The 19987-nt window shown below is 37.7% G+C and overlaps 1 protein-coding gene across 58 annotated transcripts in view; it reads right to left on the bottom strand.

The window, feature by feature from the left end:
- The window catches only part of MIA2 (MIA SH3 domain ER export factor 2), a 154608-nt gene that overhangs the window by 23962 nt on the left and 110659 nt on the right, over positions 1-19987 (bottom strand). For 44 of the 58 annotated variants that reach the window (NR_148722.2, NR_148723.2, XM_024449592.2 and 41 more), the window contains 4 exons: positions 18535-18657; positions 16790-16848; positions 15584-15818; positions 13157-14463 (listed from right to left, as the gene is read on the bottom strand). Coding sequence is in view for 55 of the 58 variants with exons in the window: in XM_024449592.2 (XP_024305360.1) it covers positions 14297-14463; positions 15584-15818; positions 16790-16848; positions 18535-18657 (584 nt within the window). In the remaining 3 variants the exon portion in view is untranslated. Of the gene's footprint in view, positions 1-13156; positions 14464-15583; positions 15819-16789; positions 16849-18534; positions 18658-19987 lie in introns of those variants that run through there. The other 14 variants (NR_148721.1, NM_203356.2, NM_001247988.1 and 11 more) reach the window with 3 other exon arrangements.

Raw genomic sequence — 19987 nt, 5'->3', positions numbered from 1 at the left:
GAAAGGACAAAACCTATCACCATGAAAATACAAAAGTATAAAACTTACTGGTAAAGCAAATACAAATAAGGAACAAAAAGGATTCAAATGTTACCACTACAAAAAAAAACAAAACAAAAAAAAAACCAACAAACCACAATAAACTAGAAAGAAACATGAGACATACAAAATAACCAGAAAACAATTTTTTTTTTTTGAGAGTCTTGCTCTGTCGCCAGGTTGGAGTGCAGTGGCACAATGATGTTGATGATATCAGCTCACTGCAACTTCTGCCTCTTGGGTTCAAGTGATTCTCCTGCCTCAGCCTCCTGAGTAGCTGGGACTACAGGCGCGCGCCACCACACCCAGCTAATTTTTGTATTTTTAGTAGAGACAGGGTTTCACCATGTTGGCCAGGATGGTCTCGAGCTCTTGACCTCATGATCCACCCTCCTCAGACTCCCAAAGTGCTGGGATTACAGGCATAAGCCACCGTGCCCGGCCCCAGAAAACAATTTTTTAAATGCCAAAAATAAGTTCACCACATATGAACAATGACCTAGAACACAGAGAGATTAAACTTTCCGCTTAAAAGGTGTAGACTGGCTGAGTGAATTAAAAACCAGAACCAAACTATATACTGCCTACAAGAAAATCACATCACCTGTAAAGACACATAGACTGAAAGCTTTACTCTTCAGCTTTTTAAGTTGAAAAAAGATACTCCATGTGAAGAGAAACCAAAAGCAAGCAAGAGTACTTACATGAGATAAAACAGACTTTAAGTCAAACACAGTATACAGAGGCAAAGAAGAACATTACAAAACAATAAAGGAATCAATTCAGCAAGAGATTATAACAATTCTAAATACATATGTACCCAACAATGAAGCACCTAGAAGAAATATCTGAAGCAAATATTATTAGATCCAAAGGGAGACACAGACACCAATGCAGTAATAGTTACGGACTTAAACAAAACATTGCTCTCCCAGCATCAGACAGATCATCCAGACAGAAAATTAACAAAGAAACATCAGATTTTTTTTATTTGAGACAGGGTCTCGCTGTGTCACCCAGGCTGGAGAACAAAGGCGCAATCTCAGCTCACTGCAACCTCCACCTCCCAGGCTCAAGTGATTCTCATGCCTCAGCCTCCGAGTAGCTGGGACTACAGGCACATTCCACCACACCCAGCTAATTTTTGTATTTTTTGTAGAGACAGGATTTTGCCATGTTGGCCAGGCTGGTCTCGAAATCCTGGTCTCAAGAAAACCTCCCACCTTGGCCTCCCAAAGTGCTGAGATTACAGGTGTGAGCCACAGCACCTGGCCAGAAACATTAGACTTAAACTGTACTTTAGACCAAATAGACATAACAGATATTTACAGAAAATCTTATCTGACAGCTGTAGAATATACATTCTTCTCACTGGCATAGAATATTCTCCAGGTTACACCATATGTTAGGCCACAAATTTAAAATACTTGAAACTATACCAAATATCTTATCAGAACACAATGGAATAAAACTAGAAATCAATAATACTTTGGAAACTATACAAATACATGGAAATTAAAAAGGAACTCTGGAAACTATACAAATACATGGAAATTAAATGACATGTTCCTAAATGACAGACCACTGGGACAAAGTAGAAATTAAGAAGGAAATAAAGAAGTTTTCTTGAAACAAGTGAAAACACAAACACAACACACCAAACCCCATGTAATACAACAAAAGCAGTGCTGAGAGGGAATTTTATAGCAACAGACATCTATATAAAAGTAGTAGGAAAATTTCACACAATCTAACAATGCACCTCAAGGAAACAGAAAAGCAAGAACAAACCAAACCCAAAATTAGAAGGAAATAAATAATAAAGATCAGAGCAGAACTAAACAAAATAGAGACTAGAAAAACAATACAAAGATTAGTGAAGCAAAAAGTTGGGTATTTGTAAAGATAAGCAAAATGGATAAACTACTAGCTAGACTAACCAAGAAAAAAAGGAAGACCCAAATAAAGAAAATCAGAAATGAAAAAGGAGAAATTACAACTGATAGCACAGAAATATAAAAGATCGTCAGAGGCTATTATGAACAACATGCTAACAAACTGAAAAAACCTAGAGGAAATGGATAAATTCCTAGACAAATACAATCTACCAAGGTTGAATGAGAAAGAAAGCAAAAACCTGAACAGACCAATAACAAGTACCAAAATTAAATCAGTAATAAAAAGTCTCCAAACAGAGAAAAGCCCAGACTGAGACAGCTTTACTGCCAAATTCTAGCAAACTTATAAAGAATTAACACCAATTCTCCTCAAACTATTCCCAAAAAAATGAAGAGGAGGAAATTTTCCCTAACTCATTCTATAAGGTCAGCATTATTCTGATACCAAAACCAGACAAAAACACAACAAAAAAACAAAACTATAGGCCAATGTCTCTGATGAATATGGATGTAAAACTCAACGAATATTAATACTAGCAAACTGAATCAAAAAGCATATCATAAAGTAATAAACTATATTCAAGTGGGTTTTATCCCACAGATAAAAGGATGGTTCAACATATGCAAATCAATAAATGTGATACATCATATGAACAGAATGAAGGACAAAAAACAGATCATCTCAATAGACGAAGATAAAATTAAACATCCCTTCATTATAAAAACATTCAAAACACTAAATACAGAAGGAACATTCTTCAACATCATAAAGGCTATTTCTGACAGACCCACAGCTAACATCATACCAAAATGAAATTGTAAACCTTTCCTCTAAGAACTGGAACAAGACACTTTTATGACTCCTATCAAATATAGTACTAAAAGGCCAGGCACGGTGGCTCAAGCCTGTAATCCCAGCAGTTTAGGAGGCCAAGGCGGGTGGATCACCTGAGGTCAGGAGTTCGAGATCAGCCTGACTAACATGGTGAAACCCCATTTCTACTAAAAATACACAAAATTAGCCAGGCGTGGTGGCACACATCTGTAATCCCAGATACTCACAAGGCTGAGGCAGGAGAATCGCTTGAACCCGGGAGGCGGAAGTTGCAGTGAGCCGAGATGGTGTCATTGCACTCCAGCTTGGGCAACAAGAGCGAAACTCTGTCTCAGGAAAAAAAAAAAAAAACCACACACCTAAAAGTCCTAGTCAGAGCAATAGCCACAAAGAAAACAGTAAAACACCAAAGAATAAATATAAACAAGGAGGTGAAAGGCCTTCACAAGGAAAACTACAAAACACTGATAAAAGAAGTTAAAGAGGCTATAAACAGAAAGATCCCATCCCATCATCACAGGATTGGAATAATATTGTTAAAAAGTCCATATTACCTAAAGCAATCTATAAATTCAATGCAATTGCTATCAAAATACCAACATAATTTTTCACAGAAATAGAAAAACAATCCTAAAATTCATATGAAACCAAAGAAGAGCCAGAACTAGCCAAAGCAATCCTGAGCAAGATCAAGGTGGGGGCATCACATTATCTGACTTCAAAATATATTACAAGGCTATAGTAACCAAAACAGCATAGTATTGGTATAAAAATAGACACACAGACCAATAAAACAGAGTAGAGAACCCAGAAATAAATCCATGTATTTACAGCCAACTGATTTTCAAGGTTTCCAAGAACATACATTGGAGGAAAGAACACTCTCAATAAATCGAGTTGGGAAAACTGGATATCCATATGCGGAAGAATGAAACCAGACCCTTATCTCTCACCATATGGATTAAACTCAAGATGGATTAAACACCTAAACATAAGGCCCAAAACTATAAAACTACTAGAAGAAAATATAAGGGGAACACTATAGGGCATTGGTCTAAGCAAAGATTTTCTGGTTAAGACTTCAAAAGCACAGGTAACAAAAACAAAAATGGACAGATGGGACTATAATAAACTAACAGGCTTATGCACAGCACAAAGGCAGAAGGAAACAATCAACAATTAAGAGACAAGTGGTTGAATGGGAGAAAATATATGCAAACTATTCATTCAACAAAGGACTAATATAAAGAATACACAAGAATACACAAGGCACTCAATGGTTAAAAGAACAAAAGACAACAACAACAACAAAAACAAACAAACAAAAAAAAAAACATTAAAACATGGGCAAAGGACATGAATTCAAATTCTCAAAGACATACAAATGGCCAACAGGTATATGAAACAATGTCCAACCTCACTAATCATCAAAGAAATGGAAATCAAAGCCACAGTGAGATATCATCTTACCACAGTTAGAATGGCTTTCTTTTGGACAAGGCTCTATTGCCCAGGCTGGAGTTCAGTGGCACAATCTTGGCTCACTGCAACCTCTGCCTCCCAGGTTCAAATGATTCTCATCCCTCAGCCTCCCAAGTAGCTAGGACTAAAGGTACACGCCACCATGCCCAGATAATTTTTGTATTTTTAGTAGAGACAGGGTTTCATCACATTGGCCATGCTGGTCTCCAACTCCTGAGCTCATCCTCAGCCTCCCAAAGTGCTGGGATTACAGGCATGAGCCACTGCGTCTGGCCAGAATGGCTATTAATAAGACAAAAAAAAAAAAAAAAAAACATGCTGCAGAGGATCCGGAGAAACAGGAACTTTTATACACTGTTGGTAGGAATGTAAATTAGTATAACCACTATGGCAAAGAGTATGGAGATTTCTCAGAAAACTAAAATTAGAACTACTGTATGATCCTGCAATGCCATTAACTGGGTCTTTATAAAAAGGAAAAGAAATAAGCATATAAAAGGAAGGCCTGCACTTGTGTGTTTATCACAGCACTACTGACAATAGCAAAGACACGTCATCAACCTAAGCATCTATCAATGGACACAAGAATTAAGAAAATGTGGTATAGGGGGCTGGGGCAAGATAGCCAAATAGGAACAGCTCCAGCCTAGAGCTCCCAGTGTGAGCGACGCAGAAGACAGGTGATTTCTGCATTTCCAATAGAGGTACCGGGTTCATCTCACTGGGGATTGTCGGACAGTGGGTGCAGAACACTGGGTGCAGCACACAGAGTGTGAGCCAAAGAAGGGCAAAGCATCGCCTCACCTGGGAAGCGCAAGGAGTCAGGGAACTCCCTTTCCTAGCCAAGGAAGGGGGTGACAGATGGCACCTGGAAAATCGGGTCACTCCCACCCTAATACTGCGTTTTTCCAACGGTCTTATCAAACGGCACACCAGAAGATTATATCCCACGCCTGGCTCAAAGGGTCCTACGCCCACGGAGCCTCACTCATTGCTAGCACAGCAGTCTGAAATCAAACTGCAAGGCGACAGCAAGGCTGGGGGAGGGGTGCCCGCCATTGCTGAGGCTTGAGCAGGTAAACAAACCTGCTTGGAAGCTCGAATTGGGTGGAGCACATCACAGCTCAAGGAGGCCTGCCTGCCTCTGTAGACTCCACCTCTGGGGGCAGGGCACAGCCAAACAAAAGGCAGCAGAAACCTCTGCAGACTTAAATGTCCCTGTCTGACAGCTTTGAAGAGAGTAGTGGTTCTCCCAGCATGCAGCTTGAGATCTGAGAACAGACAGACTGCCTCCTCAAGTGGGTCCCTGACCCCCGAGTAGCCTAACTGGGAGGCATCCCCCAGTAGGGGCAGACTGACACCTCACACGGCCAGGTACTCCTCTGAGACAAAACTTTCAGAGGAACGATCAGGCAGCAACATTGGCTGTTCACCAATATCCGCTGTTCTGCAGCCTCCACTGCTGATACCCAGGCAAACAGGGTCTGGAGTGGACCTCCAGCAAATTCCAACAGACCTGCAGCTGAGGATCCTGACTGTTAGAAGGAAAACTAACAAACAGAAAGGACATAAACACCAAAACCCCATCTGTACATCACCATCATCAAAGACCAAAGGTAGATAAAACCACTAAGATGGGGGAAAAACAGACCAGAAAAACTGAAAATTCTAAAAATCAGAGAGCCTCTCCTCCTCCAAAGGAACACAGCTCCTCACCAACAACAGAACAAAGCTGGACAGAGAATGACTTTAACGGGTTGAGAGAAGGCTTCAGACAATCAAACTTCTCCAAGCTAAAGGAGGAAGTTCGAACCCATGGCAAAGAAGTTAAAAACCTTCAAAAAAAAGATTAGACAAATGGCGAACTAGAATAACCAATGCAGAGAAATCCCTAAAGGACCTGATGGAACTGAACACCATGGCACAAGAACTACGTGACGAATGCACAAGCTTCAGTAGCCGATTTGATCAACTGGAAGAAAGGGTATGAGTGATGGAAGATTAAATGAATGAAATGAAGCGAGAAGAAAAGTTTAGGGAAAAAAGAATAAAAAGAAACGAACAAAGCCTCCAAGAAATATGGGACTATGTGAAAAGACCAAATCTATGTCTGATTGGTGTACCTGAAAGTGACGGGGAGAATGGAACCAAGTTGGAAAACACTCTGCAGGATATTATCCAGGAGAACTTCCCCAGTCTAGCAAGGCAAGCCAACATTCAAATTCAGGAAATACAGAGACCACCACAAAGATACTCCTTGAGAAGAGCAACTCCAAGACACATAATTGTCAGATTCACCAAAGTCGAAATGAAGGAAAAAATGTTAAGGGCAGCCAGAGAGAAAGGTCGGGTTACCCACAAAGGGAAGTCCATCAGACTAACAGCTGATCTCTCGGCAGAATCTTTACAAGCCAGAAGAGAGTGCGGGCCAATATTCAACATTCTTAAAGAAAAGAATTTTCAACCCAGAATTTCATAGCCAGCCAAACTAAGCTTCATAAGTGAAGGAGAAATAAAATACTTTACAGACAAGCAAATGCTGAGAGATTTTGTCACCACCAGGCCTGCCCTACGGGAGCTCCTGAAGGAAGCACTACACATGGAAAGGAACAACCTGTAACAGCCACTGCAAAAACATGCCAAATTGTGAAGACCATCGAGGCTAGGAAGAAAGTGCATCAACTAACGAGCAAAATAACCAGCTAACATCATAATGACAGGGTCAAATTCACACATAACAATATTAACCTTAAATGTAAATGGGCTAAATGCTCCAATTAAATGACACAGACTGGCAAACTGAATGAAGAGTCAAGACCCATCAGTGTGCTGTATTCAGGAAACCCATCTCACATGCAGAGACATACATAGGCTCAAAATAAAGGGATGGAGGAAGATATACCAAGCAAATGGAAAACAAAAAAAGGCAGGGGTTGCAATCCTAATCTCTGATAAAACAGACTTTAAACCAACAAAGATCAAAAGAGACAAACAAGGCCATTACATAATGGTAAAGGGATCAATTCAACAAGAAGAGCTAACTATCCTAAATATATATGTGCCCAATACAGGAGCACCCAGATTCATAAAGCAAGTCCTTAGAGACCTACAAAGGGACTAAGACTCCCACAAAATAATAACGGGAGACTTTAACACCCCATTGTCAACATTAGACAGATCAACGAGACAGAAAGTTAACAAGGATATCCAGGAACTGAACTCAGCTCTGCACCAAGTGGACCTAATAGATATCTACAGAACTCTCCACCCGAATTCAACAGAATATATATTCTTCTCAGCACCACACCACACTTATTCCAAAACCGACCACATAGTTGGAAGTAAAGCACTCCTCAGCAAATGTAAAAGAACAGAAATTATAACAAACTTTCTCTCAGACCACAGTGCAATCAAACTAGAACTCAGGATTAAGAAACTCACTCAAAACTGCTCAACTACATGGAAACTGAACAACCTCCTCCTGAATGACTACTGGGTACATAACGAAATAAAGGCAGAAATAAAGATGTTCTTTGAAACCAATGAGAACAAAGATACAACATACCAGAATCTCTGGGACACATTCAAAGCAGTGTGTAGAGGGAAATTTATAGCACTAAATGCCCACAAGAGAAAGCAGAAAAAGTTCTAAAATTGACACCCTAATATCACAATTAAAAGAACTAGAGAAGAGCAAACACATTCAAAAGCCAGCAGACGGCAAGAAATAAGTAATATCAGAGCAGAACTGAAGGAGATAGAGACACAAAAAACCCTTCAAAAAAATCAGTGAATCCAGGAGCTAGTTTTTTGAAAAGATCAACAACACTGATAGACCACTAGCAAGACTAATAAAGAAGAAATGAGAGAAGAATCAAACGGACACAATAAAAAATGATAAAGGGGAGATCACCACTGATCCCACAGAAATACAAACTACCATCAGAGAATACTATAAACACCTCTATGCAAATAAACTAGAAAATCTGGAAGAAATGGATAAATTCCTCAATACATACAGCCTCCCAAGACTAAACCAGGAAGAAGTTGAATCTCTGAATAGACCAATAACAGGCTCTGAAACTGAGGCAATAATTAATAGCTTACCAACCAAAAAAAGTCCAGGACCAGATGGATTCACAGCCGAATTCTACCAGAGGTACAAGGAGGAGCTGGTACCACTCCTTCTGAAACTATTCCAATCAATAGAAAAAGAGGGAATCCTCCCTAACTCATTTTATGAGGGCAGCATCATCCTGATACCAAAGCCTGGCAGAGACACAACAAAAAAAGAGAATTTTAGACCAATATCCCTGATGAACATTGATGCAAAAATCCTCAATAAAAAATACTGGCAAACCGAATCCACAGCACATCAAAAAGCTTATCCACCATGATCAAATAGGCTTCATCCCTGGGATGCAGGGCTGGTTCAACATACGCAAATCAATAAACATAATCCAGATATAAACAGAACCAACGACAAAAACCACATGATTATCTCAATAGATGCAGAAAAGGCCTTTGACAAAATTCAACAGCCCTTCATGCCAAAAACTCTCAATAAATTAGGTATTGATGGGACATATCTCAAAATAATAAGAGCTATTTATGACAAACCCACACCCAATATCATACTGAATGGGCAAAAACTGGAAGCATTCCCTTTGAAAACTGGCACAAGACAGGGATGCCCTCTCTCACCACTCCTATTCAACACAGTGTTCGAAGTTCCGGCCAGGGCAATCAGGCAGGAGAAGGAAATAAAGGGCATTCAATTAGGAAAAGAGGAAGTCAAATTGTCCCTGTTTGCAGGGGACATGATTGTATATCTAGAAAACCCCATTGTCTCAGCCCAAAATCTCCTTAAGCTGATAAGCAACTTCAGCAAAGTCTCAGGATACAAAATCAATGTGCAAAAATCACAAGCATTCTTATACACCAATAATAGACAAACAGAAAGCCAAATCATGAGTGAACTCCACAATTGCTTCAAAGAGAATAAAATACCTAGGAATCCAACTTACAAGGGATGTGAAGAACCTGTTCAAGAAGAACTACAAACCACTGCTCAATGAAATAAAAGAGGATACAAACAAATGGAAGAACATTCCATGCTCATGGGTAGGAAGAATCAATATCGTGAAAATGGCCATACTGCCCAAGGTAATTTATAGATTCAATGCCATCCCCATCAAGCTACCAATGACTTTCTTCACAGATGGAAAAAACCACTTTAAAGTTCATATGGAACCAAAAGAACCCACATTGCCAAGTCAATCCTAAGCCAAAAGAACAAAGCTGGAGGCATCACGCTACCTGACTTCAAACTATACTACAAGGCTACAGTAACCAAAACAGCATGGTACTGGTACCAAAACAGAGATATAGATCAATGGAACAGAACAGAGCCCTCAGAAATAATGCCACACATCAACAACTATCTCATCTTTGACAAACCTGAGAAAAACAAGAAATGGGGAAAGGATTCTCTATTTAATAAATGGTGCTGGGAAAACTGGCTAGCCATATGTAGAAAGCTGAAACTGGACCCCTTCCTTACACCTTATACAAAAATTAATTCAAGATGGATTAAAGACTTAAATGTTAGACCTAAAACCATAAAAACCCTAGAAGAAAACCTAGGCAATACCATTCAGGACATAGGCATGGGCAAGGATCTCATGTCTAAAACACCAAAAGCAATGGCAACAAAAGCCAAAATTGCCAAATGGGATCTAATTAAACTAAAGAGCTTCTGCACAGCAAAAGAAACTACCATCAGAATAAACAGGCAACCTACAAAATGGGAGAACATTTTTGCAATCTACTCATCTGACAAGGACTAATATCCAGAATCTACAAAGAACTCAAACAAATTTACGAGAAAAAAACAGCCCCATCAACAAGTGGGTGAAGGATATGAACAGACACTTCTCAAAAGAAGACATTTATGCAGCCTACAGACACATGAAAAAATGCTCATCATCACTGGCCATCAGAGAAATGCAAATCAAAACCACAATGAGATACCATCTCACACCAGTTAGAATGGTGATCATTAAAAAGTCAGGAAACAACAGGTGCTGGAAAGGTTGTGGAGAAACAGGAACACTTTTACACTGTTAGTGGGACTGTAAACTAGTTCAACCATTGTGGAAGTGATTGTGGTGATTCCTCAGGGATCTAGAACTAGAACTACCATTTGATCAAGCCATCCCATTACTGGGTATATACCCAAAGGATTATAAATCATGCTGCTATAAAGGCACATGCGCATGTATGTTTACTGCGGCACTATTCACAATAGCAAAGACTTGGAACCAACCCAAATGTCCGACAATGATAGACTGGATTAAGAAAATGTGGCACATATACACCATGGAATACTATGCAGCCATAAAAAATCATGAGTTCACGTCCTTTGTAGGGACATGGATGAAGCTGGAAACCAACATTCTCAGCAAACTATCGCAAGGACAAAAAACCAAACACCGCATATTCTCACTCATAGGTGGGAATTGAACAATGAGAACACTTGGACACAGGAAGGGGAACATCACAAACCAGGGCCTGTTATAGGGTCAGGGGAGAGGGGAGGGATAGGAGATACACTTAATGTAAATGATGAGTTAATGGGTGCAGCACACCAACATGGCACATGTATAGATATGTAACAAACCTGCACATTGTGCACATGTACCCTACAACTTGAAGTATAATAAAAAAACAGAAAATGTGGTATATATACACAAAGGAATACTATTCAGTCATAAAAAATGAAATCACATCATTTGCAGCAACATGGATGGAACTGGAATTCATTAAATTAAGTGAAATAAGGCAGGCACAGAATGATAAATACCACATGTTCTCACTCATATGGGGGAGTTAAAAAACTTAATCTCATGTACACAGAGAATAGAATGATAGATACCAGAGACTGGAAAGGGCTTTTGGGTGTGAGGGGAACATGAAGAGAGGTTGGTTATGGGTACAAACATACAGTTAGATGAAATAAATTCTAATCTTTGATAATTTTGATAGTGATGATACTTAGTAACAATATTTTATATATTTCAAAGTAATCACAAAAGAGGACTTGAAATGATAATCATATGTACAGAAATGATAAATACTCAAGATGGTGGATACCCCCAAATACCCTGACTTGATCATTACACAGTCTATGCAAGTAACACTCACATGTACCTCACTAATACGTAAAATATTATGTGCCAATAAAAGAAAAAGAATCAGTGGAAGAGGATGGGGTGGGGTGAAGAGGAACTGGGGAGATACTGGTCAAAGGATACAAAATTTCAGTCATGCAGGAGGAATAAGTTCAAGAGATCTACTGTACAACTTGAAGACCCTAATAACAATATCTTAATACTTGAAAAATCACTAAAAGATTAAATTTGAAGTATTCTCAATATAAAAAATGAGTATCCAAGGTAAAATATATGTTAACTAGCTCAACTTAGTGATTCTACATGCATACATACTTCAAAATATCATTCTGTGTACAACATATACACTTCTAGTCTATTTAAATAACCTTAAAAATGTAATTTAAAAATACAGTATAACAACTATTTATACAGCATTAATAAGTAAACTAGACGTGATTTAAAATATATGGGAAGAAGTACAGTTATAGGCAAATACTAAGCCATTTTATATAAGAGACTTGAGCATCCATGGATTTTGGTATCTGTGGGGGTCCTGGAACCAGTCCCCCACAGATACCAAAGAGGTGACTATACTCCAAATTCTGACCTACAATTTCATACCCTGATAAACTAACACCAGTAAAAGGAAGAAGGGGAATTGAGATTTTCAGACATCAAAGGATTCACATTTTATATTGCATATATCCTTTTTTAAGATTTTACTTGAGAGTGAACTCCAACAAAACCAAAGACAAGATAAATAAAATAGAATAAAGAAATAAAAACACCAAGATAGATGATTCACATGGAACAGAGAAGCAATCCCAAGAAATTAGTAAAAAGGCAGGCTCTGTTCACAGGCCAAGAGAGCAACCAGTATGGTTTGCAGCAGGCCTCCATGATGAAAGTATTCAACCAAAAAAAAAAAAAAAGCCAAAAACAATATTGAAGAGAATTTTTTTTAAATCTGGATATAATAAAGGTTAATTTGAGGAGACAAAAAAGAAGAAGAAAATTCATCGGAACAGTAAGAAGGGGAAATTGTATACCTGGCCTAAGTATAAAGCAAACTAAATGTATCATTAGCCTATTACTGCCAAATGAGGGAAGAATAAAATAAAAGGTAAAAAAAAAATCGGTCATTTGACTTTGATGTTTAAGAACATTCCCTTCTGAGTGACTCAGGAATTACGACACTGGATTTACTGAGAAAGAAATATAAACTGGCCAGGCGCGGTGGCTCACGCCTGTAATCCCAGCACTCTGGCAGAACGAGGCAGGCAGATCATGAGGTCAGGAGATTGAGACCATCCTGGCTAACATGGTGAAACCCTGTCTCTACTAAAAATACAAAAAAAATTCGCCAGATGTGGTGGTGGACGCCTGTAGTCCCAGCTACTTGGGAGACTGCGGTGAGGTTTCTAGCTCCCTGCCTCAGAGATGGAACCTTCTTGCTGCATACTCCTACAAGGTGGAAGGGGTGAACAAGCTCCCTTGAGCCTCTTTTATAAGGGCACAAATCCCATTCATGAAGTCTCCACCCCCATAACTTAATCACCTCCCAAAAGGCTACTTCCTAATACATCACCTTGGGGGTTAGTATTTCAACATAAGAATTTTGGGGAACACATTCAGACCACGGTAAGCACTAAATGTAATTACATTTTCACAGTCTTCATTTTACTTAATATTTTAACCAAGCATTCAGTTCAAGTATTTCTTTTTAGTTTTTTGTTTTTTGTTTTTTTTTTTTGAGGTGAGGGTTAGAATAGAAAGGGAGCAAAAATACTTCACAAGATCAGTGTTCCAAACAACACCTGGGGAAATGCTGGGGTGAAGTGTTCCAATATATATCACTGCTTTATTCAAGAATATTTAATCTTCTATCTTTTGGCATTGAAAAAAAAGTCTAATACTAAAACAACCAACTGGGCAACGTTAAGTATTATGATGTTTATTAGTTATGCTTCACTGCCTTTCCTTCCATAATCATATTAATGTGCAAGAAGCTTAACATGACCTACAAATCTGATTTAGGGAAACACTAAAGATATTGAGTCCAAAGCTCAAAATGATGACACATCATTCACTACAGTTATCCTGTAGTACATCTCAATATCCTCCACAGAAAATAGTAAATACCTTACAAAAGAACAGGCGGGGAAAAAAAAGCAATAAAGAAACCGTGCAAGAAACTCAGTGAATAAGAAGATCAAAATTCTACAATTCACCATTAGATAATATCCTGGTTATCTTTAAAATATAATCAATTTTGACTTTTAAAAGTGTATTAATTTGTTGCTTTGGGCCACTCATGTCTATTTACAAGAAAGAGAGCACATTTGTCATAACATAATTGAACACAAAAGACCCACATAAGTTTGAGTTTTGCACCTCAAAGTTATTGGTAAAAGGAAAAAAGTTAATAGAGCCATAGTTATAGAAAAACTACTGATTTTATTATTATCAATGCCAAACAAATCTTTAAATCAACTATAATTTATTTAAGCATAAAGTTACTTTCACATTTGTCCACAACCACAGTAAATACAGTTCTTGGCATAAAGACACAGACTTCAGAATTTAAAGCCTCCCCACCTGAAAGATTACATATATAAAACTCCCACTATTGTTTATATAATAGTGGATTAATCAAATTGAAATAGTTATACCGTCTAAAATAAAATTGAAATAATTTACTCATAAGATTCATATTTAAATCATCTTTATTTACAAAATACTATCCTGAGAATTATAATTCCATTAAGCTTCAATTTGAGCAAAAGTGTAATCACTTAAGTAACAGCAGTTACTTAAACTGAAAATGAGATCAGTCAAAATTACTTTTGAAGAGAGCAAAAATATTGTCAGGTTTCTTGCTGTGGTTCTGGATGTTCAGTAGCAGGCTCATTTGAAGGTGGAATCAAACCTGAGGGGAACTCACTTCTACCTTCAGAATGTGGGGGTGGGGGGAAAAATCCAGGTCTTGGGGGAAGGTAAGGAGGAAAACCCCTCGGTGGATAGACATTTCTCACTGTTCAAAGAGATTGGTAAAAGACATTTTTTAACTTTAAGAACCTGTACTGTGCCCTAATAAATCATTAAGTTTATAACTTCCATTACCTATTCTTTTATTTGAAAATTGACACTAGATAATTACTTGATCTAACAAATTAATTTTTACATTGAGAAAAACGTACCTCTTCAAATACAGATGATTAAAGGAAATATCATTAATTTTTATGTAATTTTTGTCCTATCTTAACACCTGTTTTTTAAAAAAGAGGAATTATTTCAAAATATATAAAACTTACTGTAAATCACTTTTTTCTTTCATTATCAAAGTCCTCAAAAAACATCTGCATGTAATATAATTTTCAACAAACTTAAAATTCGTATTAGTGATTCCCAATTCTAATTTGATATTATACTAAAACATTTCCAGTAATATCAAAGGCCACCTTAAAATTTCCCCAAACAAAATTCATTTTAATTCACCTTTAACTTTAAAAAGAGAAGAGAAACAAGGGAAGGAAAGACTATATGAGACATTCATAGGCAAAGCCTAGTATTTGGTAACCACATATTTATTCTGCAGAACCCTATAGTTCAAAACAGTAAAGTATGAATATAAAAGCAACATATTATTCCCTTTTTCTTATGTGAAGCTTTAAAAGAATTCAATAAATCCAAAAATTCGGTCAAACGTAATAAATACATTTTAAGTTTTAAATAAGTAGGACTGCATCAGAACTACTTATGAAAAAGACTTTAAAAAATATCTTAGCCAGTAATTTTAATGCTAGAATATAAGTTATTATTTTCACTAACTGTCAGAATAACCAGTTGCTACCAAATAAGGTACAGATAATTTTAGTTTTATCGTAAGACCTGCAAAAAGTCCATTATTTTCTTGACTGCCAAAATACAGAAATAATTCTATATTATTAAGATGAATCAAGCTGAAACCTCATTGCAGTCCACTTATGGCTGGCTGCCTTCCCAATTCGGAAAAGTAATGAGAATTTTCAGATTCACAGAATGCTAGAAAAAACTTTCCTCCACTGTGTTACTACATTAACAGATAGTAAAATTAAATCTCCGATTAATAAACCACATATTGAGCTTTAAAAAAAAAGTTTAAAAAAGCATACTTGCAAATGGAGCAGGTGGTGGACCTGGGAAATCCCCTGGTGGAAAATAATCTCGAGAAGCTCCAAACATGGCTCCTGGAGGAGGTGGGGGGAAAGGAGGTCCTCTTCTCAAGAATGGGCCTCTTGCATCCACTGGAAACAATGGACCTCTGATTGGAGCAAGAGGTGGAGGAACAAAGCCAGGGCCAGTGGCTTCATTTTCAGCAGGGAGAGATGAATCAGGCACATTTAAATTCTACAACAAATTGACATATGGCAGTCACTAAAACAGTAAATTTGCAATCATTTTCCCGAAAATCTCAGGCTTAGAAGAAATCATCTAGACAGAAAGCATTCCATGATAGTCTTAGAAAGCTCTAGAGAAAGATTCAAACAGCTTTCCACAGTAATGTATCAGCTATCACATTTTAGTTATCATAAATATTTTATTAAGTCAACAGAAAACAGCTTTAACCAACAAAGTAACAGTCTGGCTAAAGATAAAACAGAAATTTAACCCAAGAGCACTAAAATATATACTATTGTATCAAATATATACTGGAAAAAAAGAAAAAGCAAAATGTCTATGTTTATATTTTCCAAAAATCAATATCTTAATAAACAAAAATATACTTTAAAATATTCAAATAAAAATCCAAGGATGGGGAGGGAACTAAAATCTTAAACTAACTCAAACTCCTAGTCTGCAAATTGTATTTTATCACCATAGGTTACCATCTACAAAAGAAACAGCTTTCACGCTAAGTAGAAAGTATATTAATCAAAAAGAGAAAATCAGCTTTATATCAAAACCTAGATTATTAGCTATATTTCTATTCTAGTAAAGCATGAGATTAGAAGGCACAGGCCAGGCACAGTGGCTCAGGGCCAGGCGCAGCAGCTCACACCTGTAATACCAGCACTTTGGGAGGCCAAGGCGAGTGGATCATCTGAGGTCAGGACTTCAAGACCAGCCTCGCCAACAGGGTGAAACTCCGTCTCTACTAAATATACAAAAATTAGCTGGGTGTGGTGGCACACGCCTGTAGTCCCAGCTACTCAGGAGGCTGAGGCAGGAGAATTGCTTGAACCCAGGTTGCAGTGAGCCGAGATAGCGCCACTGCACTCCAGCTTGGGCAACAATAGTGAAACTCCATAAAAAAAAAAAAAAAAAAAAAAAGAAGGCTTCTGAATACATGCATACAATTCCACTCTTTCAATACTTACACCAAGATCATCTTTGGTATCATTTCTACTGGATTCCATTTCTGAAGGCATTGACCCATCTAGACATAAAAGTTAAACCATGAAAAGTACATGATTTATCACTTTATTCCTAGAGTATCTCCAGATCACAAAATTGGTATTTTCCCACTCCCCTTGTTGGCACATAAGCCAGCTGGACACCAATATCCTATATTGCGGCCACAAGAACAGCTTGAGGTCCCTAGAAATTCTGGCAGACTCAGAGTTCTATGATGGCATGTGGCAATTATTTCTCTGGCTAGTTCCTAAGCAATCCTGCTGGAGCAGAATGCTAAGAAGACATCTGGGAGGAAGCATCTCCCTCCTTCCTTCTTTTCCTCCTCCCTCCTTTTATGTTTGCCTCCTATCCTCTTCTCCTTCCTCCTCTTCTTCCTTCCGTCCTTATTCCTCCATTAAGTAAGAGAGACTAGCTACTGAAATTTAGCTACTGTTCCGAAATAAATGTTCCCGAACTTTGTTATCATCAAGAAATGCAATCCTCTCTGACCACAACTACCTCTCCTCTTGTAGCTTTCTCATTTATTCTCACTACATCTGTCCTTGGAAGTCACTGATGCTTCTGACCACTGAGTTTCCTCCCTCACTTCCTTCCCCAACTAACTAGACTCCAAAGTCCATGACTTCAGCCAGTTATAAATGTCCTTGTCTTACTGGTCATTTTTCACTTGTGCTTGACACAAGTGAAACCTCCTGGGTTTCTCTTTAACCCAGGAGGCGGAGGTTGCAGTGGAGCCGAGATGGAGCCACTGCACTCCAGTCTGGGCAACAGAGACTCTGTCTCAAAAATAATAATTAAAAAATAAATAAAATAAAATACTGACTTTCCAGGCTGAGCAAGGTGTCTCATGCTTGTAATCCCAGCACTTTGGGAGACCAAGGCAGGTGGATTGCTTGAGCCCAGGAGTTCAAGACCAGCCTCAACAACATGTCGAAACCTCATCTTTACAAAAAATTAGCCATGTGTGGTGGTGCACACCTGTAGTCCCAGCTATATTATATAGTCTACTATGTCAGAAAATCAATATTTTTAAAATTATATATATAACATTATTTATTATATATATTTAATAATATATAAATATATGTCCTTTCCTGAGGAAACCTTTTACCAATACATTTAAATCTTGACTTTAAAAAAAATTTTTATTTTCTTAACGTTGTGTACTTCTGGTTGATACACTGCATACATCTATTTCCCAACTTTAATGGGTTGCTATGAGGTAGTTTAAGTAAAAGACAGCCTGACAAATAGTAGATTGCTCAGTACATGTTAGTTATATCTAAGCATGAAATGTTTAATATAACTGATTACAATATCAACAGAGCATGCATCTAAATTGTTTTCTGGTGGGTTTTTATGTATCCATTCACATTTGCCTGGCTTATTTCCCTGATTACTAAACAGAACACATGTAAGTGGACTAGAAAAATTAGAAAATTAGTCATAGAACAGAGTAAAATTTATCATCATAGGTATATGGAGTAAACCTATTTCCATGGTGCTCAAACCAACCCACCAACATATATTTGGATGCCATGTCTGTGTACAATATAACAAGAAACATAAAACCAGGACATTTTCAGGAAAGAGATTTTGGCCTTAGGAACTACTAGAGATAGCAATTATATTGGTCTTTATTCTAACTTCCAGTTCTTTAGTGTGCCACCAAAATTTTTAAAGAAGAAAAGCACAAAGTACTTCTTACCCATTTTATCCAAAGAAGGCATATTAAAACTTCTGAGTTCTGCTGGTCCAGACAGTCTACCAGAATTAGAACAAAATCTGTCTTGCCTTTGTGGAGGAAGGGCTGAATCAGGATATGATTGTCCTAGAAAATAAGTTTTTAAAATGTCTTCATTAATGTAAATATAAATCAAGTTTACTTAAGTTTAACGTATTGAACTTACACTTTTGACCTGTATTCTAACACTTAAACTCATCATCTTCTTGGTTGACAACAGTAGACAATTTCAGAAGAATTGCATATTTTACTATAGGCAATAACCTTTATAGTAAACACAAGCATAATCTGCTACTTTGGATTTTGAAAATTTCAATTACTATGTGTAAATTAGAATATGTGAAAACAGAATTTAGTTTTATATATATGTAAATTAACTTTCCATTTTAATAATGGATGGAAGTAAATACATCAATGTATCAAAAAAGACCCAGGAAACATCTACTAACATAAGGAAAAAGTAAAGAGAAAAAACGTAAGCACAGCAAGAAATTTACCAGAACAGGTGATAATTTGTCATCAAAGCAGAAAGAGTATCATTCAGATGTCATCATTGTCAAACTTTCAGTAATATTGACGTTTTGGAATTTAGTATCTATTCCAAACCAAATGGAAAGAGACGGGTATGGTGGCTCACACCTGTAATACCAGCACTTTGAGAGGCCGAAGCGGGTGGATCACCTAAGGTCGGGAGTTCCAGACCAGCCTGGCCAACATGGTGAAACCCTGTCTCTACTAAAAATATAAAAATTAGCCAGGCATGGTAGTCTGTAATCCCAGCTACTCGGGAGACTGAGGCAGAAGAATCACCTGAACCCAGTGGGGCAGAGGTTGCAGTGAGCCGAGATCATGCCACTGCACTCCAACCTGGGTGACAGAGCAAGACTCTATCTCAAAATAAATAAATAAATAAATGAAAATAAATAAAAAACAAACTAAATGGAAAGCTCTCTCTGACTCAACAGATGAGTACCACTGCTGAAACGAAGAACATCTGGAGAGACACAAATTTGGACACCAACTATCTCAAGTGCTTCTACAGCCACCCTTTGTCCCCAGGGGTGATTTATGATGACAATATGGTATTAGGTTGGTGCAAAAGTAATTGCGGTTTAATAATTCCTGGGTCCTTGTGGAACTCATCACTCTTGAAAAAGTATAGGTAGTTTCTCATTCTTGAAAGGTGATGTCAGACTGCTAGATTAGGCATGCATATGTCCAACTCCAAAAATAAGGAGAACGACAAAGAAGGTGAATTGTGTAACTTTCCCCTATCCTATTACAGATATACGTAAACAACCCCAAATTGCCTCTAATTGACTTTATAGAATCAGTGTTGGATATATCACTCCTCATCTGACTCTGCCACAGGGGACCTTATTGACACATCATCTCTCCTACACAAAACCAGAGAGAC

This window comes from Homo sapiens, chromosome 14 (assembly GCF_000001405.40).
Source record: "Homo sapiens chromosome 14, GRCh38.p14 Primary Assembly".
Classification (NCBI taxonomy): Eukaryota; Metazoa; Chordata; class Mammalia; order Primates; family Hominidae; genus Homo; species Homo sapiens.
This window is presented reverse-complemented; position numbering and strand designations above follow the sequence as displayed.